The sequence below is a fragment of the Homo sapiens genome, chromosome 6, assembly GCF_000001405.40.
Source record: "Homo sapiens chromosome 6, GRCh38.p14 Primary Assembly".
NCBI classification, from domain to species: Eukaryota; Metazoa; Chordata; class Mammalia; order Primates; family Hominidae; genus Homo; species Homo sapiens.
In genome coordinates, this window is record NC_000006.12 from 44,041,317 (window position 1) to 44,068,625 (window position 27,309).

General features: G+C 54.1%; 1 long non-coding RNA gene across 1 annotated transcript in view, besides 9 other annotated features; it reads right to left on the minus strand.

The window, feature by feature from the left end:
• The window catches only part of SCIRT (stem cell inhibitory RNA transcript), a 78,930-nt gene that overhangs the window by 45,594 nt on the left and 6,027 nt on the right, over nt 1–27,309 (minus strand). The gene's annotated exons all lie outside the window — the stretch shown is intronic.
• Nucleotides 723–1,471: an enhancer, noted in NCBI's record as "H3K27ac-H3K4me1 hESC enhancer chr6:44009776-44010524 (GRCh37/hg19 assembly coordinates)". NCBI's record gives its function as "activates a minimal SCP1, AML or CMV promoter by ChIP-STARR-seq in naive H9 embryonic stem cells {active_cell/tissue: H9 hESC(naive)}" and the evidence as "EXISTENCE:reporter gene assay evidence [ECO:0000049][PMID:30033119]".
• Nucleotides 2,316–2,610: an enhancer, noted in NCBI's record as "tiled region #2143; HepG2 Activating DNase matched - State 4:PromP, and K562 Activating DNase unmatched - State 5:Enh". NCBI's record gives its function as "activates a minimal TATA promoter and a strong SV40 promoter by Sharpr-MPRA in HepG2 and K562 cells {active_cell/tissue: HepG2 | K562}" and the evidence as "EXISTENCE:reporter gene assay evidence [ECO:0000049][PMID:27701403]".
• Nucleotides 7,822–7,971: an enhancer, noted in NCBI's record as "active region_24625". NCBI's record gives its function as "activates an Ori minimal core promoter by ATAC-STARR-seq in GM12878 lymphoblastoid cells {active_cell/tissue: GM12878}" and the evidence as "EXISTENCE:reporter gene assay evidence [ECO:0000049][PMID:35858748]".
• Nucleotides 10,305–10,899: an enhancer, noted in NCBI's record as "H3K4me1 hESC enhancer chr6:44019358-44019952 (GRCh37/hg19 assembly coordinates)". NCBI's record gives its function as "activates a minimal SCP1, AML or CMV promoter by ChIP-STARR-seq in primed H9 embryonic stem cells {active_cell/tissue: H9 hESC(primed)}" and the evidence as "EXISTENCE:reporter gene assay evidence [ECO:0000049][PMID:30033119]".
• Nucleotides 13,263–13,763: an enhancer, noted in NCBI's record as "H3K4me1 hESC enhancer chr6:44022316-44022816 (GRCh37/hg19 assembly coordinates)". NCBI's record gives its function as "activates a minimal SCP1, AML or CMV promoter by ChIP-STARR-seq in primed H9 embryonic stem cells {active_cell/tissue: H9 hESC(primed)}" and the evidence as "EXISTENCE:reporter gene assay evidence [ECO:0000049][PMID:30033119]".
• Nucleotides 17,248–17,427: an enhancer, noted in NCBI's record as "active region_24626". NCBI's record gives its function as "activates an Ori minimal core promoter by ATAC-STARR-seq in GM12878 lymphoblastoid cells {active_cell/tissue: GM12878}" and the evidence as "EXISTENCE:reporter gene assay evidence [ECO:0000049][PMID:35858748]".
• Nucleotides 17,728–17,797: a silencer, noted in NCBI's record as "silent region_17245". NCBI's record gives its function as "represses an Ori minimal core promoter by ATAC-STARR-seq in GM12878 lymphoblastoid cells {active_cell/tissue: GM12878}" and the evidence as "EXISTENCE:reporter gene assay evidence [ECO:0000049][PMID:35858748]".
• Nucleotides 21,405–22,367: an enhancer, noted in NCBI's record as "H3K27ac-H3K4me1 hESC enhancer chr6:44030458-44031420 (GRCh37/hg19 assembly coordinates)". NCBI's record gives its function as "activates a minimal SCP1, AML or CMV promoter by ChIP-STARR-seq in primed H9 embryonic stem cells {active_cell/tissue: H9 hESC(primed)}" and the evidence as "EXISTENCE:reporter gene assay evidence [ECO:0000049][PMID:30033119]".
• Nucleotides 21,551–21,620: a silencer, noted in NCBI's record as "silent region_17246". NCBI's record gives its function as "represses an Ori minimal core promoter by ATAC-STARR-seq in GM12878 lymphoblastoid cells {active_cell/tissue: GM12878}" and the evidence as "EXISTENCE:reporter gene assay evidence [ECO:0000049][PMID:35858748]".

Below are 27,309 nucleotides of genomic sequence, written 5' to 3' on the forward strand. Positions count from 1 at the left end.
GATTTAAGACCTCAAGCAATCCTGGAGATCAAGATGGAGGCTTGGCCTGCAGTTTGAGGATCAAACTGTCTCCTGGAAACTACCCCCATGCCCTGGACCCAGCCTCTGTGGCCCAGGACAGTAGTGGGGACAGGTTAAGGCTAGGGAGTGCCTTTGCCAGGCACTGGGAAAAGACACTGCAGGCCCCAAATTGTGGTTAATCTCCAAGGACACGCAAGAATGCAGCAGGAGAGACTAGGATTAGACAACAGGGAGAACTCGATGACAGCTAGAGCTCCGGGATTCATTCCCTGCAAGGGCAGGGAGGTTGAGGGGGCAGAGGAGGAAGGAATCTGCAAGGAGGTTGCTGACGTCCTCCTGGAAGGCTAGAAATGAAGCACAGGCAGCCGAGTCTTCTCCCACCTCCCTCCACCCCCAGCGATGAGTCAGGGATTCCGCAGAATGCTGAATTCCTGTCTTCCTTTGGGCAATGATACTTGACACTCTCCTAGGTTTTCTCTCCTGCCACAGAAGTAAAATCTTCAACCATTCTCAAGGACTTCTTTCTCCTCAGCTCCCCAGACAGGCCCCTGCTTTCCTGTGAGTCACTGTATCTTCAAAGCCCCTTCCTGCCTCAGCCTACCCCAATAGCTCTCAGGCTCCTGGCTTTGCACGTGTTGTTCTGTCTGCCTGGAACACTCTTCCCAGAACTAGCTTCTTCTCATCCACCAGAAACCAGTTTAGATGGCACCTGCTGAAACAGATCAGCTCACAAAGGCCCGGCACAACCTGGCCCACAGAAGCATTCCTGAGTGCTGTAAATGAATGAACTGTGAATCAATGAATGCAGAAGATTCTGAGGGGCAGAAACCACATGCCCTACCCTCAGGGAGCCCACGATCTGATGGTGGAGACTCAGCCTCTGCCTTGGAACCCCTCAGTGAGCAGAGCTGTGGAACTCAAAGAAAGGAAAGCCTTGCCTGGGGCCTGCAACCAGGTTCCCTCTGAACTTCAAGGCAAGGAAGTCTTCTTCTATGGTCAGGGCCCAGCCCACACCTGCTACAAAGGCAGGGCCCAATGAACATTTCTGGGAGGGAGCAGAGGGGAGGGGAGGGGAGGGGAGGGGAGGGGAGGGGAGGGAAGGAAGACATCTCATGGACCTTTGGCTTTTCTTTGAGGGCTGCACTCTGGTCAAGAGGCTCCCTGGTGACCAGGGCCAACTGGCCCTTTCCATCAGAGCCAGGCACTGGAGAGCACAGTGTGGGTGCTTGCTCCATATTTGAGAGCAGAATAGAGCTGGAGGACTCTGGGCATCGAGAAGCCAGGCCCCAGCGACAAGGCTACCTCAGTTTCCAGACCCACAATGAGAGCAACCAGAGGAGGGAGGGGAGAGGAGGCAGGCTGCCACAGGGCCAGGAAGAGGCAGCTAAGGCAGTGTGGGACCCACCTGGGGTGAATGGATGGCTGAGCCTCCAGGGTGGCCTCAAGGGTTGCAGGGGAGACCAGACAGGGCTAAGGGTTGCAGTCCTGGTGGGATCTGAGCCTGGGGAAAAGGGAGAAGCTGGGGAGGAATCCTTCCACCAGCCCTTCAAGGCGAGCAAAGCCCCCTGCACTCCCCCAGCCCCAGCGAGAGCAGCTGGTTAGTGGATCAGGATCATTGCCTCAGGAAGGCAGGGGAGTTTCTGTGAATGAGTCTTTTCCATGCTCAAACCAAAACCTAAGTCCCTAGCCCAGCAGGCAAAGCTGCCACTTCCTCTCCAGAACAGCAAAGACCTAAGGCACTGGGAAGAGACCTGCCACTTGGGGCACCTCCCTTCAGGCCTCCCTGGGGGTGGCTGCTGTGGCACAAGTGGAGGAGAGACAAGTCAGGATGGGAGACTTTCTCCTGAGCTGGCCTCTGTGTTCTGCTGTGATATCCCTGCCCCAGGAGACAAAGTGCCACAGAGGGTAAATAGTAGGGGTGGAATTTAAACCCTGAGAAAGAGAGCAAAAAGTCACAGACTTCCTGGGTCTATGCAGGGATAAGAGCTAAGTGCCAGGGAATGAGTAAGTGCTGAAGCATGAAGCCAGGGGTTAGTGGGTCAGTGACCCACCCCATCCACCTATTCCTTAGCTGGCCATCATTAGGGAAATGATGTATTTATTTAACCAACACGTACATAGTGCAAGGTAAAACACAAATACCTAACAAATATTAATTCAGTGATTACCCAGAACAAACCTAGGAAGAGAGCACTATTGTCATCCCCAGTTGCAGATAGGGAAACTGAGGCCCAAGGAGGTTACCTGACTTGCCCCACATCACACAGCTGGAAAGTGGCTGAACCGGGATTCAAACCCAGACATGATGCTGCCCCAGTTGGGTCTTGCTGCTGCCATGATTTCAAGGCCTGGAAGGGGTCAGAGAAAGTCAAAAGTCAGGAGGCCAGCATCAGAGTAGGGCAAGGACCTCCCCCAGCAACAGCCAGAGCCTGAGAGAGAGCAGCTGATGTAATTGCACCCCTTGTTGCGGGGGTGGGGAGTTGGCCCAGGCCCAGGGAGTGGCCAATGGCAGGGCCCCTGCCTCCCTCAGCTTGCCAGGGAGAAAAGGAACCCCTCCAGGGTATTTCTATTATCTGGAGGAGAAAGTGAGGTGGGAAGAAAAGTTGGCTGGAAAGCAGACTGAACTTGCAACTTGGTTTAATAACCAAATCCCAGTTCTCCCTGTGAGCCAGGGCTCCCTCCCACTGTCCCCTCCAGAAAAATCCAGGCCAGGCCTGGGTCTGGGAACAAAGAAGCCTGTCCCCACAACCCCCCCTCCCCCAGCTCCCAGCTCCCTACTAGAGCCCCAGAAGTAGGGTCCATTTCTCCTGGAACCTGCCATGGCCCCTCCAGGCCTCCAGTCCCACTCTTCCCGAGCTCAAAGAGAAGAGGAGGATCCCAGAGATGGGTGACTGCATTTTCCACCCTGAATATGAGGCTGTGTGGGTTGGAAAAATAAACGGCACTGGTTGGGGAAGGGGGAGTGAACTGTTTGAATGAGGGCTGTCCTGAGAAATGCCGGTCATGTGGTCCTTGGTCCAAATGAAAGGTCAGAGCACCCACTGCGCAGTCAGAATGGCTGGGGAGCGGGAGGAAAGGGGAGGAGCAGAGTGGGCAGTCCTCATACACACTCACACACAAACATTCACATACATCTTCACACACACCCACGCTCACATACACACACACATATTCATATACACATTCACACACATCCATATGCGCCGTCACACACACACACATATTCATATACATCTTCACACACACCCACGCTCACATACACACACACACATTCATATACACATTCACACACATCCATATACAGCTTCACACACACCCACACACAAACATTCATATACATCTTCACACACACCCACGCTCACATACACACATATTCATAGACACATTCACACACATCCATATACACCTTCACACACACACACAAACATATACATCTTCACACACACCCACGCTCACACACACACACATACATTCATATACACACATTCATATACATCTTCACACACCCACGTTCACATACACATATTCATATACACATTCACACAATCCATATACACCCTCACACACACACACATTCATGTACATCCTCTCACACACACACACATATCCATATACACATTTACACACACCCACACTTATACACATTTACACACATCCATATACACCCTCACACACACCCATACACACATACACACTCACATTTATATACATCTTCACACACACATTCATATACACACTCACACACATTCATATACACATTGCCACACACCCACTCATAGACACACACACTCATATACATCTTCACACACCCACACTCATATACACCTACCTACATTCATATACACACACTCACATACACATTCACACACACATTCATATACATTTTACACACCCACACACTCACACACATTCATATACACATTCTCACACACCCACACAAAACACAAAAACATTCATATACATATTCATAGACACATTCACATACATCTCACACACCCCACACACACACACATTCAAATACAGTCTCATGCACACACATTTATATACATATTGTCATACACACACTCATACACACTCATATACGCTCATACATTTATATACACATTCTCACACCTCGACACACTCACATGCACTTATCTATACACTCATACATGGAGACACTCAGATACTTAGATACACACACACATACATGCAGACACACACTCCAACACTCCTACACACATTCACCCCCCTCACACACCCACACATGTATATACACTCACATCCTGAAGCACACTCAGACACATACTAACTCTCAGAAACACACTTATCCCTCAGAGGGGGTAGGACCAGCCTAGGAAAGAGTCCTTCTGGGAGAATGGCATGGCTGGTGACTGCCAAGGGGTAGGCAGAAGCCTAGGACTGGGCAGGGAGCCCAAGAGTAGGGGGTGGTGCTGTGGGCCACTGTGCAGAGGCCAGGACTGTGAATGAAGTGGGCACTGCTCCTGCCCCCTCCCAGGCCTGCCTCTGGCCAGGCCAGCCTCCATCCCGGCATTGTCTCAGGCATCTTGGGCAGGGTTCCCAGAGCTGGCTGAACCAGGGGCCTGGCCAAACAGCCCTCCCCTGCCCTCCCATTCCTCTCTTCTTGCAGGGAGGGGGTGGGAAACCTTCCCCATAACCCTGGCATTTCACCCCCAGCCCACACAGGTGGCTTTTGGAGAAGCTCAAGTGCCAGAATTTGACCCGAAAACTCCAGGTTCCACAACGCCCCCTGCTTCCTTCCCAGGCCAGGAAGCCTTGGAAGTCCAGCCCCCACCAACCTGTCCCCTCAACTATGACATTCATTTCTTTTTTTTTTTTTTTTTTTGAGATGGAGTCTCGCTCTGTCACCCAGGCTGGACTGCAATTGTGTGATCTGGGCTCACTGCAACCTCCGCCTCCCAGGTTCAAGCAATTCTCCCACCTCAGCCTCTTGAGTAGCTGGGATTACAGGTACCTGCCATCATGCCCGGCTAATTTTTGTATTTTTGTAGAGACGTGGTTTCACCATGTTGGCCAGGCTGGTCTTGAACGCCTGACCTCAGGTGATCCACCTGCCTCGGCCTCCCAAAGTGCTGGGATTACAGGTATGAGCCACCACGCCCAGCCCATGACATTCATTTCTACCACATCCCAGGTATCCCATCTGCTCTCCTCCACAGGCTGAGTTTAGTGCAGGGCAAACTGTCTCCCTCCCCACATCCCCCACCCAAAGCAATGGGAACTACTGGCATTTTAGTCTTAAAGGCCAAATGAATCACCTGTGTGCATGTGGTGGGGGCAGGAGGGGCAGGCATTAGTAGATTGATTTGAACCAGTTCCCTCTTTGAGAACTGGCTCTCTCCTGCCCTCTCCAAAATGTTCTCCACCAACCCCTCAACATGCAGTCCTGGCAGGGTGAGTCCCACTTCTCCCTGTTGGTGCCAGAGAGCTGAGCCACCCTCACAGCCAGCCAAAGGAAGGGACCCTATGGGCAAGAAGACCAGCCATCATCCGGAACCGGGTGTCCTCCCTTAAGGGGACTTGGGCAACACCCTTTACAGGACTTTGTAGGGTAACAGCAAGAGGATCACCATGCTGTCCTCACAGGGCTTGCATCTGGGAGGGGCTCTTCCCTGTCTTGGAACTGAGCCTGGACAACTCAGGTGCCCTCCAACCTGTTCTCTACCTGAGCCAAAGAGGTTTTTTCCAAAACACAAATCGGATCCCATCCAGCCCTTGCTTAAAACCTTTCAAACGTTTCCCAGTGCCCTCCGGATAATTCCTTAATGCAGCACAACATGCAAGATCTGCCATTGCACCTCGCCTCCTCTTCCCCTCCCCATGTCATGATCCTCACCCATTGAAAGGAATGCCACCCCTCTCCCAGTTCTGGGATGCTCACCCCCACTCCCAGCTCACTCATCATCCTGCAGATCTCAGCTCCACCTCTCCTGGAAAGTCTTCCTAGATCCACCCCCGGGTCTCAAGCTGAAGCCTCCTCTCTGCTCTAGGGGACACTGTATCTCTTCTGTCCTGGCACTGATCACAGTGTGTTGAAACAGTCTGTTTGCTCCTCAGCCTTCCCATCTCAACCAGGAGCTCAGGAGGGAAGGGATACATCTGTCTTACTCATCATTAAGCTCCTAGCCCCAAGCACAGCACCTGGCACAGAGGAGGTGCTGGATAAACTTGAATAAATGAATCGATCAATCAGTCAACAGCCCATCACTACCCAGGGCCATTTTGCACACCTTCCAGGGCTGGCCTGAGGCAAGCATGCCCACACCCCTCTGCTCATGCCCCTCAACCCACTGCTTCATATGGCACGGTAAGTCTGGCTCCCCACCCTCTGGAAAGAATCCTCTGTATAGACCCCTTCCCCTAACCAAGCCCCACCACCTTCAGGGAAGGCTGAGCTCTAATCCAGGACACCACTCCAGGAAGTCCCTGACTGCCTCCACAACCTCACCTGCTCCAAACTCCTACAAAGCCTTTCACTGGGGCCACCCTTTGGCTTATATCACAATGTACTTTTTTGGGTTCACTGTCCGTTCCCCTAAGGCTCTTGGCCTCCCATGAAGGCTGGGGCCCTGGCAGACAGAACCAGCAGGTGCTACCTGGGCTGCACTCTGAGGCAGGCCCTGTGCTGGGTCCTCTAGAAAGATAGGCCAGCCTGGCCCTGCTGAGAACTCGGGATGGAGCAGGCTCGGGAAGCCAGGGGTTCTACTGTTTCCTTTCTCACCCTAGGCCCTGCTGGGGACCAGGACCTGGAAATGAACATCAGAGGAGGAAGGCCTCAGTGTGGAAGGGTATCAGCCAGCAGGCAGAATCCAAGGAGAGGGAAGAGCTAAGATTGGGCCATCAGAAGCCAGACTCCCAGTCCTGGGGCAGGAACCCAGGGGGGTCAGGGAACAGTCCCAGCAGAAGAGAAGGTGAATGGGAAGCTTCCCTCCATCTGCCTTGGCTGCTGCTCAGCTGGGAGAGGCTTCTACAGAGGTGAAGGACTCACTAAAAGCGTAGGGCTATGTGTATGTCTTCCCCAAACCCCTGCAGCAGTTCACCAGCCTCTTGGCAGTGGTGCAGCCAACCCCCTGCCCAAATCACCAATGCTCTCGGTACCAATCAGCAGAGGTTAGATGCGTGCTGGCCTAGTGCGTGCTGGCCCCTGGCAATGGGCCAGAAGTACAGAAGATTTGGTGCTGGCGTGACTGGAAGGCTCTCTGCACAGACATCCTTACGACCCCCTCCACACACAAACACATTTTCAAGCTTAAGGATGGGGCTTGAGAAGGTGGTCCATTTCCCCTGGGCAGCCATGAGATGGGGACCTATGTCCCTCACTCACACTGGGCCATCCATGCTGATGCTGGCCAGGAGACCCACGTTAGCTTCTGACTTTGCCATCAACCTGCTAGGTAACCTCAGATAAGCCCCATCCTCCTCTCTGTAAAGTGGGTGCAATAATCCCTGCTCAACTCACCCCACAGTGTTGCCATAATGATCAGATGAGGTTGTGCCCATGAAAATGCTCAGCGAACTTTAGAATCTACAAAATGAAATGTTTCTGATTATCATTCTTGTTGTTATTATCATCTAAGGAAACTAACTCTGCTGCCTTATTGAAATCAGCAGTTTCATCTCCCTTCGAGATCCCCTTGCTCAGCAACCATCACGGCTCCCCTTTGCCTACAGGACAAAGGCCACATTCTGTGGTCTAGATGTTCATCTGGCCTAAGCCTACTTTCCAGTTTTATCTCCCTTGCCTTTTAGTCTCACTGGTCCTTTTGGAGTTCCCCCAGCACATTTTTTGTCTTTCTGCCTCCATGCCTTTGTCCATGCTGTTCCCCCTCCTGGAACGCCCTCCCCCATTGCCACCTATGGAATTTAACTCCATCTTTCAAGACCAAACTGTGGCACCAGCTCTTCCATGAAGCCTCTCTCTCAGCTCAGCCAGAAGTGCTCTCTCCTTCTCTGTAAGGGACGTGGTTTTCATCAAATGCCATGACACTTTCTGGCACAGAGTTAGTGCTCACAAAATGAAAGTTGCAATGACCACGCCCTGCACTCTAAACACTGACTCATTTCATCCTTACTACAACCCCATGGTTGTGTACTATTAGCATCCCCATTTTCCAGATAGAAAAAATCAAGGTGTAGAAAGGCTAAATACCTTGCCCAAAAGAGCATCAGACCAGGGCTTGAACCTGATCAGCTGACTTTGGAACTCGTATGTGCCTCTAATCATGAGGAACTGCACCATGTCTATTTATTCAGTTTTGCTGTCCCCTGCCCAGCCCAGGGCCTGGCTTGGAGCAGGTGCTCAGTAAATATTTGCTGGCTTCAGCACTCATTCCTCAAGCCTCCTGTGCACAGTCATCTCACTGTCCTGGGAGTCTCTTAAAGGCAAGGCCCAGTGGCTGGCTCAGAGGGGTCCCAGGAAACGTGGCCAAATGGCTCCACTCACCTGCATATCCATACATGTCCTCATGCATCAGAGTGCCAGACTAAGGCTGGAAGAGATAGGGCTGCAACCCTTGGGCCAGCAGCACGAGGCTGTCTGGTAGCACACTTGGTGACCAAGTTGGCTGCTGGACAGGGTCAGAGATTAACCCACCCTCTGTGGTCATGACAGGGTGTCAGGAGAGCCCTGAGCAGGGTGGGGAGGGAAGCAGGAATAACTCTCAAAGTCTGAGTGCAAGGAGCTCTAGGAAGCACCTAACCCAATTATTCACTCCCATTTAACAGATAAGGAAGGTGAGGCACTGGAGTTGGAATGACTTGCTGGAAGATGAAGAGCACAGAAAAGGCTTGCAAAGGTGCCAGCATTTCTGGGCCTTTCCTCCTCACCCTGTAGGTGGGCACGGGCCCCCTCCTCCCCCTTGGAGAGCTTGATAGTCACCCCCATGTAGCCCAGGAACCAAGAGGCCTGAGCTCTTTGGTGATCTCAGCCCCAGAGAAAAGGGTGCCCTCAGACAGCTTTGCTAGGCTGCTGTGCCCAGCCAGCAGCAGCCCCTTCAAAGAGAACAGGGAGAGAGGTTGGGAGAAGGCCAGCCACTAATTGTGGAAAATAAATCAGAGACATCTAAACCACACAGTTGAAGAAGGGCCAGTTGCACACAGACATGTTTCCTTTTGTGTTCTTGCTCACCAAGTTTAATTGTTAATTGAAAGCTGGGAGTTATATAAGTTATGGGGATACCAAAGAAGGAGTTGGAACAAGCTGTTGAAAATTACCCACTTGCTGAGTGGTTTGTGAGGCAAGGAGGGGTCTCAAAAAAGCGGGCAGCTGACCCCAAGAGGGCAACCAGAACAAAACCATCCGCTAAGAACTCTCTCCATCTGCAGCCGCATGATTCCTGGAGCTTAAGAGCAACGAATGTGTGTTCAAGCTGCTGATTTCCCACAAGTGCACATGGAAATTCAAAAGTAATGCCATGATATTGATTATCAGTTTAATAATCAGACAAAATCTCCCACATATCTGACCCTGCGCCACTTGTAAGCAGGGCTGTGTCTCCCTCTCTGAGGGGGATCCCTGGGGACAGGGCTGTGTCTCCCCTTAGACTGGGGCTCCCTGAGGACGGGGCTGTGTCTCCCTCAGACTAGGACTCCCTGAGGCAGGGGCGTGGTTTCTCTATGAAATCAACCTCACCTCACCAACCTGGGTTGAGGAACCAGAGACCTGCAGCCACCTGTCACCATTGGAAAATGTCAGGACACACCCTCATGTCAGAGTGGGAAGGGTTAAGACAGAGCTTGGAAACTGCAGTTCTCAGGAACACCTTTCTCATCAGCCAGCCCTTCCTGTCCTGACTGCTGCCAGGACTTAGATTGGCCTCTGATGGGTTCCAGCTCACAGCTAGGCCTCCTGCATTCTGACCCTCAGGCAGTGGTGTCCTGTAATGACCCACCACGGGTATTCCCAGCCGCCTGAGCCAGGGAGGGCTGGCATTAGGATGGAGTGGGATGCAGGGAGGGAATGGGCAGCACTGCCATGGGGAGGAAGCAGAGTACAAGGGAGGGGACGCTGGGGCCTGAGGCCCTGGGACCTGGGGTAGGAGGAGACGGTGAGGCCTGGGGTAGGAGGGGATGCTGGGACTTGGGGTAGGAGGAGACAGTGGGGCCTGGGGTAGGAGGGGACACTGGGGCCTGGGGTGGGAGGGGACGGTGGGGGCTGGGGTGCCAGAGACTCCCTCTGGCCACCTGGCCCTGTAGCCTGGAAGCCCAGGGTGGGGTGACATGGGCTGCCCTTCCCACATGGGCTAGTTTCTTTTGCTGCCACCAGACCCAGGGAGAGGCCTCCTTATAGCCTCCAGCCTGGGCAGCAGTCCGTGGCTCTCCCGAACCCCTCCTCAGCCATGAGTCATTCCCAGCAGTCTGCATGAGCCAAGGCAGCAAACCCCATCCCACAGCCTGCAGAGAGCCTGGGACAAACTGCATGACTGGCCAGATGCAGGTGCCCAGCACAGGAGCATCCAGCCTGGTCTGGATGGGAAGACTGAATCTTGGATCTTCAGAAATCCCGGCTTTGGTTTCCCAAACACTGTCTCTTCCCCACCCCCACCTCCCAGCTCCCTCCTTGCCCGGCTCACTGAGATTGTGGTGCATTTCTCATTTTTACCTTGTCTCTCACCCAGACCTCCTCTAAGCATCCTTGGGCCCTTCGGGACTCAGCTCAAATATCTTCCACCCTGGAAAGTCCCCTGTTCACCTTTTCGCACCCTTGGCTGCATAGGCCCACACCTCTTCCTTGTTAGACAGGGAGCTGCAAAGAGCAGCCGGGACTCTATTTCATCCTTTTCTGTCCCCTAACAGTCAGAGCAGCGCCTGGCCCATAGGATGCGCTCGTGATAGCGTTTCCAAAGACGGATCCAGCCAGGAGTTAGATAAAACCACTCAGACCCTAATAACCAATATTTGCTGGTCCCAGCTGCTGACAAAGTCCCAACTATTCCTGGACAGGTCAAGGAGGCTCTCTGCCTAGTACAATGACCTGCTACAATGACCTGGTATCACACTCCCCAAGGACCACACGCAAATGGCACCACTGATGTGCCTGAGCCTTCAGGGTGCCTCAAAGCTGTATAGTGGTGTGTGGTAAAAAGCAGAGAAGGCTTCTTACTCCCCTTCTGTTCCTCTCTGAGAACATCCAAAACAGAGCTGCTGTGCCCGGCATCTTTTAGAAGGTTAGAAGACAGTGTGTGGTCAGTGTGGGGACTGATTTCAACATCATTCCACCCCCTGCTGTGTGCCTTACTGGCCTGCAGAGACAGGAAGAGCCAAAAAACTACATTTCCCAGTCTCCTCCCCTGCTGTTGGGATTGGGATATAATTCAGGTTTAGCCAATCAGATGCACGTGCATGAAATTTGGAAGGCTGTGCTTCTGCAGCGCCAGCTGCTTTCTGGGAATAAGAAGGGGTGTGTGTTGTTGTTGTTGTTGTTGTTGTTGTTGTTGTTGTTTTGCTGCAGTACGGGCAGAGGGGGTCAAGAGGAGAGACACAGTGTGTCTGGCTCCTAGCATGGACCCCAGCAGGTGCAGTGTGGAGCTGGCAGCAGTGGCAGCCTCCTGATCACACTGCAGTGTGGTTCTGGGGCTGGTGACCTCATGATTGCCAAAGAGGCAGCAGCTCCCTTGGTGGCCCAGTTCTGCAGTGTGACTTTGAGAGCTGTTCCTGAAAGCTCCACCTTAAGCCTATGTCTTCGACCCTGCCAATAGTTGTGTAGCCATTTCATACTCTGTGATAAGTCCCTTTCACTTAAACCAGTCAGAGCAGATTCTGTTCTCTGCAACAGAATCCTGATGGACACACAATGCTTTATATCCTAGTCCTATACAGAGCCACACAGCTCTTGGTAGCAGACTGAGACTGGGCCCAGGGTCCAAGCTCCTTGAATAAGGCCTGACTGTGCATGTGTGCACGTACCAGGGAGGCAGGGGGCTCATCCGGCCCCATCCTCCCCTGGCCCCACAGCGGGCACTCACAGAATTCCTGAGGAGAAGACAGGGAGAACCCAATGCCTGTGGAAGTTTAAACAGCAGTGTGTGGGCTGAGCAAGCATGCCAGGGCTACCTGGCTAGGCATGCTAGGGGCTTGGAGCAGAGTTCAAGTGCCAGGGAATGGAGCCGATCTGTAGGTTTGGACAGAGGAAGTGGAGGCTGGGATGGTGGGCTTCCTGTGGCCTGCTCTCTTTCAGACCCAGATATGAGTCCACCAGGGAGCTGGGCCAGAGCAAATCCAGTCACAATCATCAGCCTGGCTTAAAACGGCCCTTGTCCTACGACTGTCCACCTGACTCTCTCTTCCCTTTGAATAAGTTCTTTTCTGGGAGTTTCTTTAGATCTTATGCATGTCTGAATTCCATCCAAGGAAGGTAAATAGATTCTCATTTCATCTCTCAACTCTGATCAGTTAGTAGTGACGACCTGGACCAGTATATGAGAAAAAGTGTGAGGCTACTTCTGGACTCGGAAGGGGAAAGTGCTAGGATTGGCTAGTGATGCCTGCCGTGGGTGCAGAAGCGGATATTGACAATGTGCATGCTGTGTGATCGCTTACATATTTGAGGGAGAAATGAACAAAGGTGCTTCCTGCTTAAGGCAGACTGGGATTCATCTAGCCATACACTCCCCAGACAGCTTCTGGCCCTAATGCCACCCCAAAGGTTCCTGATACCACTCACCAATTTCCCCAACTCAGCATTTGTTCACTGGCGCATTTTATCAACTATTTCCAGAGCTTCCTGATTCCTTTTCCCCAACGTAAGCTCTCTCCAACTCTTATAGTCCCCTACCCTGTGCTCCAGGTTCACACTAACTGTCACGCCCACCGGGGTTCTGATCTCTTGGGAGCTGACCTCAGGAAAGAGCTGAAGCTGATAGGGACTGATTCCTTGAACTAAAGTAAGTGCAACCCCCTCCAGGAACATTCCTGACCTCTCAGGCTCTCCACAGGCCCTCCCTCTGTGGTCTTGCTCACTGTCTCTGGTGCCCAATCAGTGCTGGGCACTCAGTAAGCGCTTGATAAGCCTGTGGATCAGTGAGAGGATACTCAGAAGTTTGGGAGTGACCTCACCAACCACTGGCTTCCCTTTTCCCATCCTTGCTTCCTGCCTATTCCCGTACTCAGATACCTTTGTTGACACTGACATTTGGCTTCCCAAATCTCCAGGAAGCCTGCACGCAATGGGGCACCCTGCATCCCATCTGAGTCACCACTGAACCCAAATCTGGCCTGCTGCAGAAGCTAGCTGCTGGGTGGGACAGAAAATTGTGCCCTTTGAGGGGCTCTCAGGCTCCCCTTTGAGGGAAGGCAGCCATCTCCTGGGCACTGCAGAGGTCAGAGTGGGTGGTAAGCCATTTTTCAGGGAAGAAAACAAGCCCTGAGCCCACCCCACGACATCCCTACTCTGGGTTCTTGCTCACCCACCACACTGTTTCTGCTAAAGGAAAACAGATGGTGTGGTTAATTGGGATGTCTTAGCGGGCTCTGGTCCTCATTAAGGCTGAGGGTGGGGACAATGAGTGATATACCAGGTCATAAACAGTGGCTCGAGGGGGCAGGTGCCCTGATGCTCCCCAAGGACTGAGGGAGTAGTGGACAAGGCCACTGGTCTTGGGCAATGGGATCAGGCTGGAGTCCAGCCTCTCCCTGAGCCCAAGGCAGAGCCCAGTGACAACTCCTGGGGGGTCCAGATGCTCACAGCTGGAGAAAGTGAACATTGACTGGGGTGGCAGTGTGGGGCCGGGTGAAGGCAGCAACTGCGGAGGAGGCAAAGAAGCCCAGGGAAGGGTGGGCAGGAGCTGCTGGAGTCAGAGAATGCCCTAGAGGCAAATCTGGGGCCTGCCTCTTCCCGCCAGAGTACCAGAGCCTGACTCAGATAGCCCAGCCCCAGAACCCCACAGAGGGACATGAAGGGAAGGCACAGCCATCCCTCTCTCCAGGGGGCCCCATGCTAGAGAGAGGCAGTGGTTAAGAGCCAGGCTATCTGGGTTCAAGCCCTGGTTTTGCCAATCACTAGCTATGTGATGCTAGGCTACTGCCTCAATCCCTCTGTGCCTCAGTTTCCCTACCTGTGAAATGGGATAACAATCCCCCTAGATAATTGCAGTCGTTAATGAACTCAGAGCAGCACCTGGCACATAGTGCTATGTGTTCCATTTAGGTTATTATTCTTAAGGCAAGGGTCTCTGTGTCGGTGAAATGTGGGGGATACTCACTCCTCCCTGTCACCAGCAACAGCAGAGTCTCTTGGAAGTGTCTCCTTGCATAACCATCCTTCCCAACCTCTGAATCACCTCCCTCACCCCGCCAGCATCCCCAAGTGATGGGAGGGACAAGGGGTCCAACCCAACCCTGCCCAGAAAGTGAATGCGCCAGATGCATTCTTTTATTTTTTATTTTTATTTTTATTTATTTATTTTTTTGAGACGGAGTCTCGCTCTGTCGCCCAAGTTGGAGTGCAGGGATGCGATCTTGGCTCACTGCAACCTCTGCCTCCCGGGTTCAAGCAATTCTCCTGCCCCAGCCTCCTGAGTAGCTGGGACTACAGAAGTGTGCCACCACACCCAGTTAATTTTTTGTATTTTTCAGTAGAGATGGGGTTTCACTGTGTTGGCCATGATGGCCTCGATCTCCTGACCTTGTGATCTGCCCGCCTCGGCCTCCCAAAGTGCTGGGATTACAGGTGTGAGCCACTGTGCCCGGCTGAGACAGCTGCATTCTGAGGACAGTAATTATTGGGCACCTGCTGTGTGCCAGGCCTGATGCTGATGTTTTATCTGCACTTGCCCCATTTAGTCTTCAAGGTAGGTATCGCTCTCCCATTACACAGATAAGAAAGCTGAGGCCTAGAGATGAGTGTCCAAAGTCACCCAGAGAGCAAACAGAGAAGCTCGGGTTGGAATTCAAGACTCCCATCCCTCAGAATCTGTGATCTTTCCTCAGGAGCAGGGTGTGCTCCTTGGCCGTTAATGTCACAAACACTGGGGGGGCTTTTTCTTAATGCAGCATCCTAAGACCCTCCCTAGAGCTAGAGAAGCAGAGTCTCTGGGTGGGATCCAAGAGTCTACCCCTGAATAAAATAGCTGCCTCTGGCCTTGGACCTCCTTTAACCTAACACAGCCCCTATTGCAGACAACTGGACCCTGAAGAAGGAGAAAGGAGATGGAGCCCAGTCAATCTGCACGCTTACCTCCAAGGGGATGGATGCAACACCACTTCTGTGCCCCCTTCATCCCCAGGATCCCTCGCTCTCTCCTGGTGCTTGGGCCCCAACAGGCAGAGTGGGACAAAGGAGGGCAAGGAAACATCTCCAATATGTTTTCCAAAGCACGGTGGGTGAGAGGAGCAAGAGGGTCAATGGGGCCTACCTCCTCTGTCCATTGAGGGATACAAGTGAAATGCGGAGGGACTGATACCCTGGACAGTACCCAGGGGCTCCATCAACTGGGGGCGGAAGACCAGTTCTGGGGGTGGGGGAGGTTCTTTCAGACTGGCCCTGCTGCCTGCAGCACGAGGAAGACCCTCTGTCCACTCCTACATCTCCCCCAAACCCCCATGGATGTGATTGGACAGCCGCCCCAGGCACTCTGTGCTGCGGGGGCAGCAGACGCTTGGTCCTCAGTGAGGAGTGGAGAGGGATCAGCATACATCACATCACACTTGGCACGGCCCCCATTGGTGGGCAGCATGCCACCGTGTTGGTGAGCTGTCTCCCTGCAGAGCCTTCACAGGCGGCAAGGGAGGGGCTTCCAGGGGAATCACTGCCTATCAGGAGTGGCACAGCCCCAGGAAGCCCCCCGGACCATCCCTAGTTCCTGCCTTGCCTGGGCCCAACCAGAGCTGGGCTGAGGAAGGGAAAAGGGAGAAGGGCACTGGGGCTGGGAGATGAATTCCAGGCTGGGCCATGCTGGGGACCTCAGGCCACAACCAAGGGCTCGATCCCAGAGGGAGAGGCCTCCCACTAATCACATTCAGGTGACCGGAAGCTCTGAGGCTCTGGACCCTGCTTCCTGGAGATGTTAGGGAGGAGAGGGAGAGAGGAGTCCCTTGGCTCTGGGCCAGTCCACAGACTTCTCCCCAGAGGCCCAAGGGCTGTTGGGGGGGGATAGAAGACCCACTATCAACTCCCACGTCCACCCACACCCAAATAATGCCTCAGTCTACAAGAAGCCAGGTCCCATAGAGTTGAGGGAGCTCACAGTCTGAAGGAGGAGACACTTCCTGCTGTCTGGGATCTGCCAGTCTGAGGGCAGAGACGTAGCCACTCCCTTCCAGAACATCAACCTCCCAGTCTCCTCATTGTCTCCAAACAGGGCTAACACTCTTCTGTCATCCCTTTCATCCTGATCTCAGTCCTTCCAGACTCAAATCACTGCCCTCCTCATCCTCAGAGCCTTCCTGGATGACCACACAGCTCCAATCCTCCACCCTGGCACTCTTAGAGCAGTTAATTTGGTGGTGGACAGATAATTCCTAATGGCATGCAAAGAACTCATATTTCCTAGGCACCACCTGTACCAGAGGCCTGGTGGCAGGACCTTGATCATGCAAACATGACATGATCCAGGCATGCAGGGAGCTTCCAGTTCAGGAACATTAGGACGGACCAAGAAGATACAGTGAACTGTCAGTTAAACATCATCTTTTCCCAGACATTTCTGCGTGTGTGTGTGCGCGCGCGTGCGTGTGTGTCCCCAGCTAGGCTGGGACTTTGTTAGAGCAAGACAGGAACTGAGCTTAAATATCAGGCCACACCCCCATCTAAACTAAGTCCCTAGGATATTCTCCCAGAGCCCCATGTAATTTTCCCTCTTGGCACACATTACAGTTTGTAATTCTTTTTGGTGTGACTACTTGCTTTAAGACTCTCCTTTTCCAGGCTCTATAAGAGTAGCTGAGTCCATGGCTTCACCCGTGTATCTTGAGCACCTGGCATATTTGATGACTGAATGAATGATTTGAATGAAAGCACCACATTCCTATTCATGCCCTTGCCCCTAGCACACAACCTGTAGGTGCTCAGTGCTCAGATTTGGCAGGATGGCAAAGTAAAAAGAAGCCCATCTTGCCACAGCTAGGAATTCAAGGTCAATCCCAGAGCAATCCCAAGGCAGTTCATCAAGGAAGACTTCCTGGTGGAGGAGGACATGGACTGGGGACTTTCAGCCTCACATCTGTTCTTCCAGTTCATCATCTGTTTCTGGCAGGAACTCCTGAGGACAGAGGTTACGTCTGGGTCTCAGGGCCATCCCCAGCACACCCCCATTCAAGCTGCGCATGACCTGCCCCACTGTCGACAGCCAGCTGTGACTCACAACTCCTGAGCCTTTCCTCTTGGCCAGAGATCGTGGAGTAGATATTACAGTAACATTACTAACCACAAGTAGAGGCGGTGACCGTACTTACGCTCAGAGCACCTCCCCCCACCCCTGAGACCAGAGCAATGACCTCACACTCATGTTCGGCAGCAAGCACGGACAGTCCTGCCCGGAGGCAGGGGGATGGCCCACATGGCCCTGGTCTTCCAGAGAAGCCCAGCGTCTGGCCTCTTCCCCTCAGCGCTGGTCACATTCTCCCCACCTTCCCCTCCAAGCAGCCCACCTGGGGTAGGTGCTGAGTCCCCTGCTGCTGCCTCCCCCGGGTGAAAGCAGAGTAAACAGTCCCCCTCTCCCCCGCCTCCCTGGGGAGGGCTGGAGGAAAGAAAGGGAAGTGACAAAAGCTGCCCTATCCCTGTCCTTCCTCACTGCTGGGTCTAGGACACTTATTCTGGGGAAAGTGGCGTCTGAGGATGTGGCTGCAGTGGCCAGTTGCTGGCGCCAGCAGAAATCCCCAAGCCCGTCAGTAGACTCTGTTCAGACGCGTTCGCTGACCATGGCACTGAGTAAGTGCTGAGGAGACACCTGAGGACCCAGGTCACGCCCCTGCCTGCCCTCTCCTCCCAGACAGGCCCCTCCTAGGGCTCAGACCATTCCAGTTCCTCTTGTCAGACCCTGAGAAGGCCCAGGGCATCCACCCCTACAGGGAAGGCTCAACAGGAAAGAAAGAAACACACAGGAACTGGGCTCAGAGCCCAGCTGCGTGCTCTTGGGCAAGTTACTTAACCTCTTTAGGCCTCAATTTCTCAACTATAAAATGGGACTAAGACTAGCTGCCTGTTGAGCTGTTGTGAGATAAGTGAGTGCACTGGCCTGGATCTGCAGACGGTGGACAACAGCCAACGGCAGCCGGATGTGGCATTGTGCTGCTGCCTTTAGCAGCTCCAGGCAGTAACTACTGAGTATCAGGGAAGAACTGAGACCTCAGAGAAGGGAGAGAACCAGGATTGCTTGAGGCAGGGCGTTGGGAAGGCCCCACTTACCCTCTGGCAGTTGCAATCTAAAAGGAACAAAGAGGCTTTGTGGCAGATCCTGTCTCCTAATATCCATTCCTCGTTTATTTCCCAACTTTTAGCCAGACCCCCATGGAATAAAGACTAGACTACCTAGCTTCCCTTGCAGCTAGGTATGGCTAGATGACTGAGTTCTGGCCAATGGAATATAAGTGTGACTTCTAGGAAGCTTCCTTGAAGGGAAGGGGCATGTCCTTCTTCAGGCTTTCTTCTTCCTTCCTGCTGGCTGGGGCTCCAGCAGCCATCTTGGGCAATGAGGTGACCCTGGAAATGGAAACCACACCTAGCAGGTCAGAAAGATAGAAGGAGTCTCTGACCACATCCCAGAAATATTTTACATGAGCAAAAAATTCACTATTTATCTTGTGTAAACCAAAATTTAACTGATACAAGCTTCTCCTCTGGTGAAATAATCTCGACTCATGTGTGGCTGGGCAGAGTAGGATGGATGAGGTGTCTAGAAGAGAAGAGTTACCAGGGGTGTGATGTCCCCATCCAGGAGCACTTCCTCCTACTTGCCCTGTGAGGTCAGGAGGAACCCTGTTGGGAGGACTTGGCTCCAGGAGGATGGATGGATGGATGGATGGATGGATGGATGGATGGATGGATGGATAGATAGATGGATGGAAAGGAGGGAAGAGCCCAGGTAAATGCATGAGATGAGGAGAAATACCTAGAAGGAGGAAATACCCTGGGAAAACACTTCAGATGACAGAGAGCCAGGCTAGGGGTGTGGGGATAGCAGAACAGGATGGCCTACCTGACTCACTGCCCAAGTCGGACTCTCAGTTTTCCCACCTGTGCTTTGGGAATGGGCCTTATCGCCTCACTCAGGGCCAGCGTGAAGTGATTCAAAAACCAAACCAAAACTAAACAGAGAATCAGTGTAGCATTAAATCCGTTGTCAGCCCAGACAAAACCCTTCTCTGTGCCTGGGATTCCTATAAAGTAAGGATACCCGTGGACCCCACCTCACCTGGCTGTTGTGAGTATTCAGCGAAAGGGCTACTGTAATGTGCTCATCACAGTGTCTGGCACAAGGCAAGTGCTCAGTAAGCAGTCAGTGCTATTATTGCTGCTGTTGAAATCCTGCCCTGGGGTGTGAGGAACAAGAAGCTGCCACTTGATTGGTCTGTGGCATGAGTTAGGGAAAGAAACCTGGACTCCTCACTCCAGAATAATATCTCCAGCGCTTTGGGGACCTAAAGGACCAGGTAATGCCTTGGGAGCACCACACCATAAACACACATCAGGATCCTGACGGCATAAGATGGAATGGGGGTAGTAGGGAGACCTGGCAGGGTGGGGGCAGCCAAGGCTTAAATTTTGGTACCACTGCCTGGGACCCCTGGAGGGACAGCTGTCAGGTCAGGCCCTGACCCCCAAGCTCTCCTCCTTGGCCAGGCCAGGTCCACATTTGGTCACAAGAAGCTGGCAAGAGGCCAGACAGGGCCGCAGATGCCATGGAGAGGGCAAACACAGGCCCGACGGAAAGGGGGAAAAAATCGGGCTTGTTCTGCCTGGGCAAGAGCAGGCTCAGGGGTGACATCAACGCCATGATAAGCAGTTAGATGAGTTAATGCCCAGGGATGCTTTTCCTGAAGTTCCCCAGAGAAAGTTGGGGGTTAAATGATGAGTGTGTTGGCAGATTTGTACCCTCAAAAAATTACGAGTGTGACCACTGTTAACAATGAGCAGGGACTTTAAGAGGAGAACTAAGGAGCTGTCATTTCTCTCTGGAGAAGTGAAGGAGAAGAAATGATCTTACATTAAAGTAAACACGATTCCGGATGACCTAAGGGAGAATTCTGACTGCCCATGACATGAGCTCTCTGTGTGCAAGGAGCTGTGGACTGAGTCCAGAACTGAATAGGGCACACAGCTTCAGTGGCCTGTCCTGAAACCCCAGCACAGCCTCCAAGTTCTGGGCTTCTGTTCCCACCTGTGTTAAATCAGACAAGGTAACGATTATGGATAGGGATTTAGGAATCATACAGAGATCAGTTTGAAGGCACTTTGGACAAGTTACCTAACTTCTCTGTCCTTTGTTTCTTCCTCTGTTTGGAAGAAAAAAAAAAAACAGAACTGGGTGCAGAGGGTTGCTGGGAAGATTAATTCAGTGGATGCCAGCTTAGAGCCTGGCACCCAGGACGAGCTCCATAAATATTCTCCAGTGGGGCTATTTTTCTCCTGTCTGGGCAGGGATTGGACAGTATCTCTTGAGTTCTTTTCAAGTCTAGAATGCCTTGATTCCACAATCCTGTGACTCACTGATTCTGCTTCTGGGGTCTGAGGACTGGGATGAGTTGGTTGCACAGCTCTGCCCTGCAGGGCCCAGGCCCAGCACCTGGACATAGCCCAGCCTATAGTCTGCACCATTTTATTTCTACCAGTGGACTTTGCCTTGCCCATCATGTGCCCTCAGCCTCATGGGCAGCCTTGTGGCCACAGGTGGCCCTGCCAGCTGTCCCTGACCTCTGCTCTGCACCTTCACCTGGAGCAGGGCAGTGCAAGCCCCTCCGGCTAACTCCTTCCTCACACCTACATTCCCCTGACAATGTCACATGCTGTGCAAGTTGGCAGGGCCAGAGGGGCCACAGATGCCAACAAAAACACCATTCCTGTGGAGGGAGAAGAGCCCATGGGTGTTATTTTTAACCTGCTGATTAGAGGCCACAGCTCTGCCCCTGGGGGTCCTGGGACTAAGGGCTCTGAGGGGCATGTGAGTTGTCAGGCCTCACCTCAATGACTCCCAAGGGTATTGGGCTGCAGAAACCCCAGCCCTTCTACCACTTTGATGGAGAAGTGGGAAAGGGAGACACAGATCAAGACATGCCCCATCTTGCCCACTGGTTTCAACTGGGGCTGAACCCAGCCAGGAAGAGCAAATGTGCCACGAATCACAGAACATTAAACCTAGAGATGGGTCCTCTCCAGTCCCTGCGTTATACAGATAAGGAAACTGAGACCTGAGGGAGGAGGCCCAAAGTCACACTGCTGGTCAACACTAGCTTCCTACCCCCTTGCCCACCTGTTGTAGACCTGGAGTTTGACAAGGACATTTCTATAACTCTCCAAGGCCACATCCTGGGGGTCACCTTGCTCCACCCTCTGTCCAGGTGACCCATCTTGCCTCTGCCCTCTCCCCAGTCTGCCCTACCCCAATGGGCTGAGCTTCTGACAACCCCATGATGAGGGCTCCAGGCCCTGGCTCACCCTGCAAGGACTTCCTAAGTGCCCAAGCAGTGCCCCCTAGAGGCCAGTGGCAGCACTGATCAGCACAGCGGGCAGCGCCATCATGGCTGGAGGCCCAGGCGAAGACGTGCAGGCCAGGGCGTGCCTGTGTGGGGGGAACAGGACCGAGCTTCTGCCAAGGGCCCGCTGCCGGCTGTTGCTGAGCTTGTGCTCGCCAGAGGGGTGGGGGCGGCAGGCAGACAATGGACCCCACGGCCCAGCCTCCTGGCCTTGGCCCCTTGAGCTGGGCAGGCAGCCGCTGGCCAAAGCAGCCGCCTCCATTGGTCCCTCACGTAGCCCACGTCCTGCCTGCTGGGTGGCCCTTATCACCGGGTACGTGCCAGAGTTCCACATGCCCACACTCCACAGTGGGGAGGGGACTGTGGGCCCAGGAGGAATGGGACCAGTGGGAAGTTAGGCTTCCTGTTTCCCTGCATCCCATTCCCAAGGAGGGGCTTGAGCAGGTCCTGAGTACCCCTTGATGAGTCTCTCGTTCTCAGAGAGATCTTAGCCGCATCTCGCCAAGTCCCAACTCTCAACAACTGTTCTCCCCTTGGAATGAAGGGGTTGGGTGGAAGAGAAGAAAGAAAGAGGCCAACAGCTTCATTTGAATGTTCTAGGTCACCAGTTCACAAATACCAACTGTTCCTCTTAACAAGCTTATACAAGAAGTAGTACTATACTATGCTTATTACTGTCTGGGGAAACAGGCACAGAGAGGTTGAGTGACTTACCCACAACCATACAGCTGGTAGGGACAGAGTCAGGATTCAAATCCGAGCAGACCGACTCCACAGCTAAACCACTCCTCAACAAAGCAGGGTCGTGACTGGCTGGTGCTCAGCCCTCTACCCCACAGAAATGATGGCTTTGGGGTCAGACAGACATGGGCTCAGGCCTGGAAATGCATGCTCTAGGGCCAGTGAAGGCCCTCTCTGGGCCAATGTTTCCTTACCTGTGAAATGGGTGCAGTGATGCAGTGAGGAAGGTACAGCCACATGTGCCTCACTGGTGGAAGCTGCTGCACAAATCCTCCTCCCCTTCACCCAGCAGAGCTCAAAGCCTCCTTTGACTGAATAATTAGAATGTCTTCTGCCTCGCCGCCTGAAGCCCACCATCCCAGCCTCCACTTCCTCTGTCCAAACCTACAGAGCGGCTCCATTCCCTGGCACTTGAGGTCTGCTGCAAGCCCCTAGCATGCCCGGCCAGGTAGCCCCGGCACGCTTGCTCAGCCCACGCACTGTTTAACCTTCCACAGGCACTGGGTTCTCCCTGTCTTCCCCCCGAGGAAGACCGTGAGTGCCCGCTGTGGGGCCAGGGGAGGATGGGGCCGGATGAGCCCCTGCCTCCCTGGTATGTGCACACATGTACAGTCAGGCCTTATTCAAGGAGCTTGGACCCTGGGCCCAGTCTCAGTTGGCTACCAGAGCTGTGTGGCTCTGTACAGGTCCTTTCACGTCACGGGGGCTGTTTCCTCATATGTCAAATGGACATCTACATCCCGGCTGGTAAAGACACAGTGAAGCCACATCTGGGACACACCCCTCCCAGAAAACTTCCTCGTGATTTCTGCTAGCAGATTAGGACTACAGCGTGTGTGGGCAGGGAAGGGATCTGGCTGGGAGGACAGGCGAAATGGACATAGACGTCAGAGAAGGCAGGAAGCAGAGGGGTTTCCCCACCATGATGAGGCTGCACAGGCAGGGGAAGAAAGGCCATGGGGGCTGAGTCACTGGCTGTGTCTAATCTGCTGCCTTCCCAGCCACTGACAATGAAGTGACCACAGGCGGATCACAGGAGATCACAGGAGGGAGGTGGCCAAACAGGACAAGAAAGGGAGCTGCAGGGACTCTAGAGGAAGTAGCCTGAGAGGCAAGGCTCAGCCCCTGCCCTCAGAGGGACCCTGAGCTGATGGGGTAGCAGACACAGCTGCTGCCTTCAGTGAGCTCCCAGTCTGACAGGGGAGACATTCTTTTGTCTCAGGAGAGAAAGGAGCTCTGCCTTCAGGGAACTCCCAATCTGACAGGGAAGTTTTATCACTTTCTGCCTTAAGGGAATTACAACTGTGACTGGGGACTCAGCCTCTGTTCGCAGGGAACCCCAGCTTGAGGTGTCTATGTCTGAGGGAGCAGGTGCCTGAGTGAGCGCTGTGCATTTGTGTGTTGACACCCTTCCTGGCTTCCTTCAGACCCTCCAATCTGATGGGAGAGACACAGCTCTGCTCTTAAGGAGCTCCTGTAAGATGGGGGAGACATAGTCCCCACATCAGGCGGCCACTAAAATGAAGGGGGAGACTTAGCTCCTGCCCTCTGTCCTCAGGGAGCCCTGTCTGCCCCCACGGGCACTCAGGTTAAGCATGCATGTGTGTGCACATGGGAATGCATGCAGGCCCTGCTCTAGCCCTCTCAGGCACCACTCCCCACCATGCCCACCTGAGAACTCCTCAAAGTAAGGAAGGAGAATCCTTGTTCGAGCCCAGGCTAAGGGGGCTTCCACAGAGGGGCTTCTGGGAGCCTAGAAGACAGAGGGTGGGGGAGACAGAAGTGCTACCACATCTAGGGTGGCTGGGCTCACTGTCCTGAACAGCTGAGCTGCATCTGCCTTCCTCATCTCCAACTCCTGATCCCTGATACACCCCAGCCTCACATGTCCGCTGAGACGCGGTACATGGTATCTCCCACACGTATGCGCGGCTCCAGCACATGGGAGAGGGTGGCTGGGGCTTGGAGCTCAAAGGAGCCTCTTCTTTTCCTCCCCGTGGCCCTCATGTTGCCTTTCACACACCCACTCTGGGTGATGGGAGGGGAGTGACCAGTCCACCCCGAGTCACTATGACTCGGTCTCCCCACCTGGAACCCTCATACTCGGTTCACAGTCTCCATGAAGGGACAGTGAGCAGACTGGGAGTCAGCGGGGAGGAGGCCCACAACAAGTCGGGAGCTCCAGTTCACCCACTCAATTCCTTCCTAGGGCAGGAAACCTTCAGGAGAGCAGAGGATGGGGCTGGGTGGGAAAATAACATGCAAGGGAGGAAGCAGGGAGCACAGGGCATTTCCCCTCAAGTGGGAGTTCCCCGAGGGCAGGGCTGTGTCTCCCCTCAGACTGGGGCACCCTGAGGACTGGGTTGTGTCTCCCCTTAGACTGGGGCACCCTGAGGACTGGGTTGTGTCTCCCCTTAGACTGGGGCACCCTGAGGACGGGGCTGTGTCTCCCCTCAGACTGGGGCTCCTTGAGTCAGGGCTGCGTCTCCCTCAGACTGGGGGTCCCTGAGTCAGAGCTGCGTCTCCCCTCAGACTGGGGCACCCTGAGGACTGGATTGTGTCTCCCCTCAGACTGGGGCTCCCTGAGTCAGGGCTGTTTCCCGCCTCAGACTGGGGGTCCCTGAGTCACGGCTGTGTCTCCCCTCAGACTGGGGCTCCCTGAGTCAGAGCTGCATCTCCCCTCAGACTGGGGGTCCCTGAGTCACGGCTGTGTCTCCCCTCAGACTGGGGGTCCCTGAGTCAGGGCTGTCTCCCCCCTCAGACTGGGGATCCCTGAGTACAGGGCTGTGTCTCCCTCAGACTGGGGCTCCCTGAGGATGGGGCTGTGTCTTCCTCAGACTGGGGCACCCTGAGGATGGGACTGTGTCTCCCCTCAGACTGGGGCTCCCTGAGTCAGGGCTGTCTCCCCCCTCAGACTGGGGCTCCCTGAGTCAGGGCTGTCTCCCCCCTCAGACTGGGGCTCCCTGAGTCAGAGCTGCGTCTTCCCTCAGACTGGGGCACCCTGAGGACCGGATTGTGTCTCCCCTCAGACTGGGGCTCCCTGAGTCAGGGCTGTCTCCCGCCTCAGACTGGGGCTCCCTGAGTACAGGGCTGTGTCTCCCTCAGACTGGGGCTCCCTGAGGATGGGACTGCGTCTCTCCTCGGACTGGGGTTCCCTGTGGACAGGGCTGTGTCTCCCTCAGACTGAATTCCATGAAGACAGGCACTGTGTCAATCCCATCAAACTAGGTCAGAACTAGATCTCCTTTAGCATCTAAAACAGGCAACTCATCCACCATCCCCAACATCATCTGGGGGTTTTCAGACTGGGTGGGGTGGGGCATCTACTTCCCACCAGGCCACCCTCCTGAGGAAGGACAATCATGCTTACTGGCAGGGGCTTCCTCAGTGAGCAGCCTGTTCCCAGTTCACCCACTCACCCCTCTGGGTGGTCTCTCCCACAGTCTAGCCCCAGTCTCTCACGTTAAATCACCATGGGTAGCTGGGCAGGCGAGACCCACAGGATGTGTGGGCAGGGCCTGCCTGGACCTGGTGGGGGGTGTATAGCTGAGAGCACAGGCATTTTGTAGCATGATCTCATGCCCACTGCCCTCAGCTAGGGGCTCTTCAGGACCATTTGAGCATGGGGAGTGGGCAGACAAGCCTGGGCAGCTATACCAGTGGCCTGAGGAAGCCAAGCTTGGCAGGTTCCTGCTTCCATGAGTCCAAATCAGCACAGGAAGTGGGTCCCAACACCATTAGCTTTCCCTTATCCTATGCTGTAGCCACCTGGATTAGCAGAGGGAGAGGCCTCCTACCCCAGTGGGTCCCTGTGAGGGGGCAGCCCGACCTTACAGTGTATACATTTGGTAGTGAAGGAAGCAGGAAACAGCTGGACAGGCCTGGGAATCCCTCCCCACTCCCTAGTCACCTTTCAATACGAGGAGCTGGGCTTTCCCAGCCCTCTATCCCCTACTCCTCCCTGCCTCCTCTTGACCTCCTGTGCCTTTTTCAGGGAAATAAAACACAGAGCCATGTGGAGATTGGGGCTGGACTTCTGTGCTCTCCTTTTTCCGTTGGCAACCCCATCTCCAGGCTGGCAGGATCAGAGTCGGTGCCTCCCACCTAACACTGACAATTGGGCATTGCCATGGCTGAGGGCACCCTAAGATATCAACCCCATTACACAGATGGGCAGACTGAAGTCTGAGGCTGTCACAGAGTCAGGACAGATCATGTCTTGGAGGTGATGCAGCCAGGCTTGTGGTCAATACCCACTCTGCCTGAGTCAGGGTAGCTCCTCTCTCGGCCAGACTGTGAGCTCCCTGAGCTCAGGGACTGGTCCCCAGCTTCCTGAAAGGGGTTTGCTGGGTAGGATTGAATGAGGGCTTGCTATGTACTGACCTGTGCTGGTCCTGGGGTGGGGTTCTGTGTCCCCATCAGCCTAGCCAGTTTAGCTGCAGGGCCTCCTCACCTCTGGACCCTTCCTTGACCACAGGTCTCCCTAGTTAGTTCCTGGAACCCAGACTTTCGGTGCCTGGGGAGGGAGGGTCTAGGGTGGCATGGGCAGCTGTGCATCCAGGCCAGAATGGGCCACCTGGAGAAGTCCCCAGGGCCTGGTGCAGGAGCCCGCTCCCCCAGCTGGCAGAAGGACAGGTGGAAGCCCACCTGCTGTCCCCCGCTTCTGGGTCACAGTCAGTTGGCTGAGCTAGGCCCAGCTTGGGCAGGTTCTCCCACATCCAGTGCCCCCTCCCCCTCACCCCACCCTGGCCTGATCCCTTTTTCAAGTACAGTCTTTGCTCCAGCCAGATGTCTGAGCACAGTCTTGTTCCCAAGAAACCCATGCCCTGCCCCACAATCTCTACTCATCCTGCCCTCTCTCCCTCCTGTCCCCATAGGAGCCATCTCCCCAGGGCCACTGGC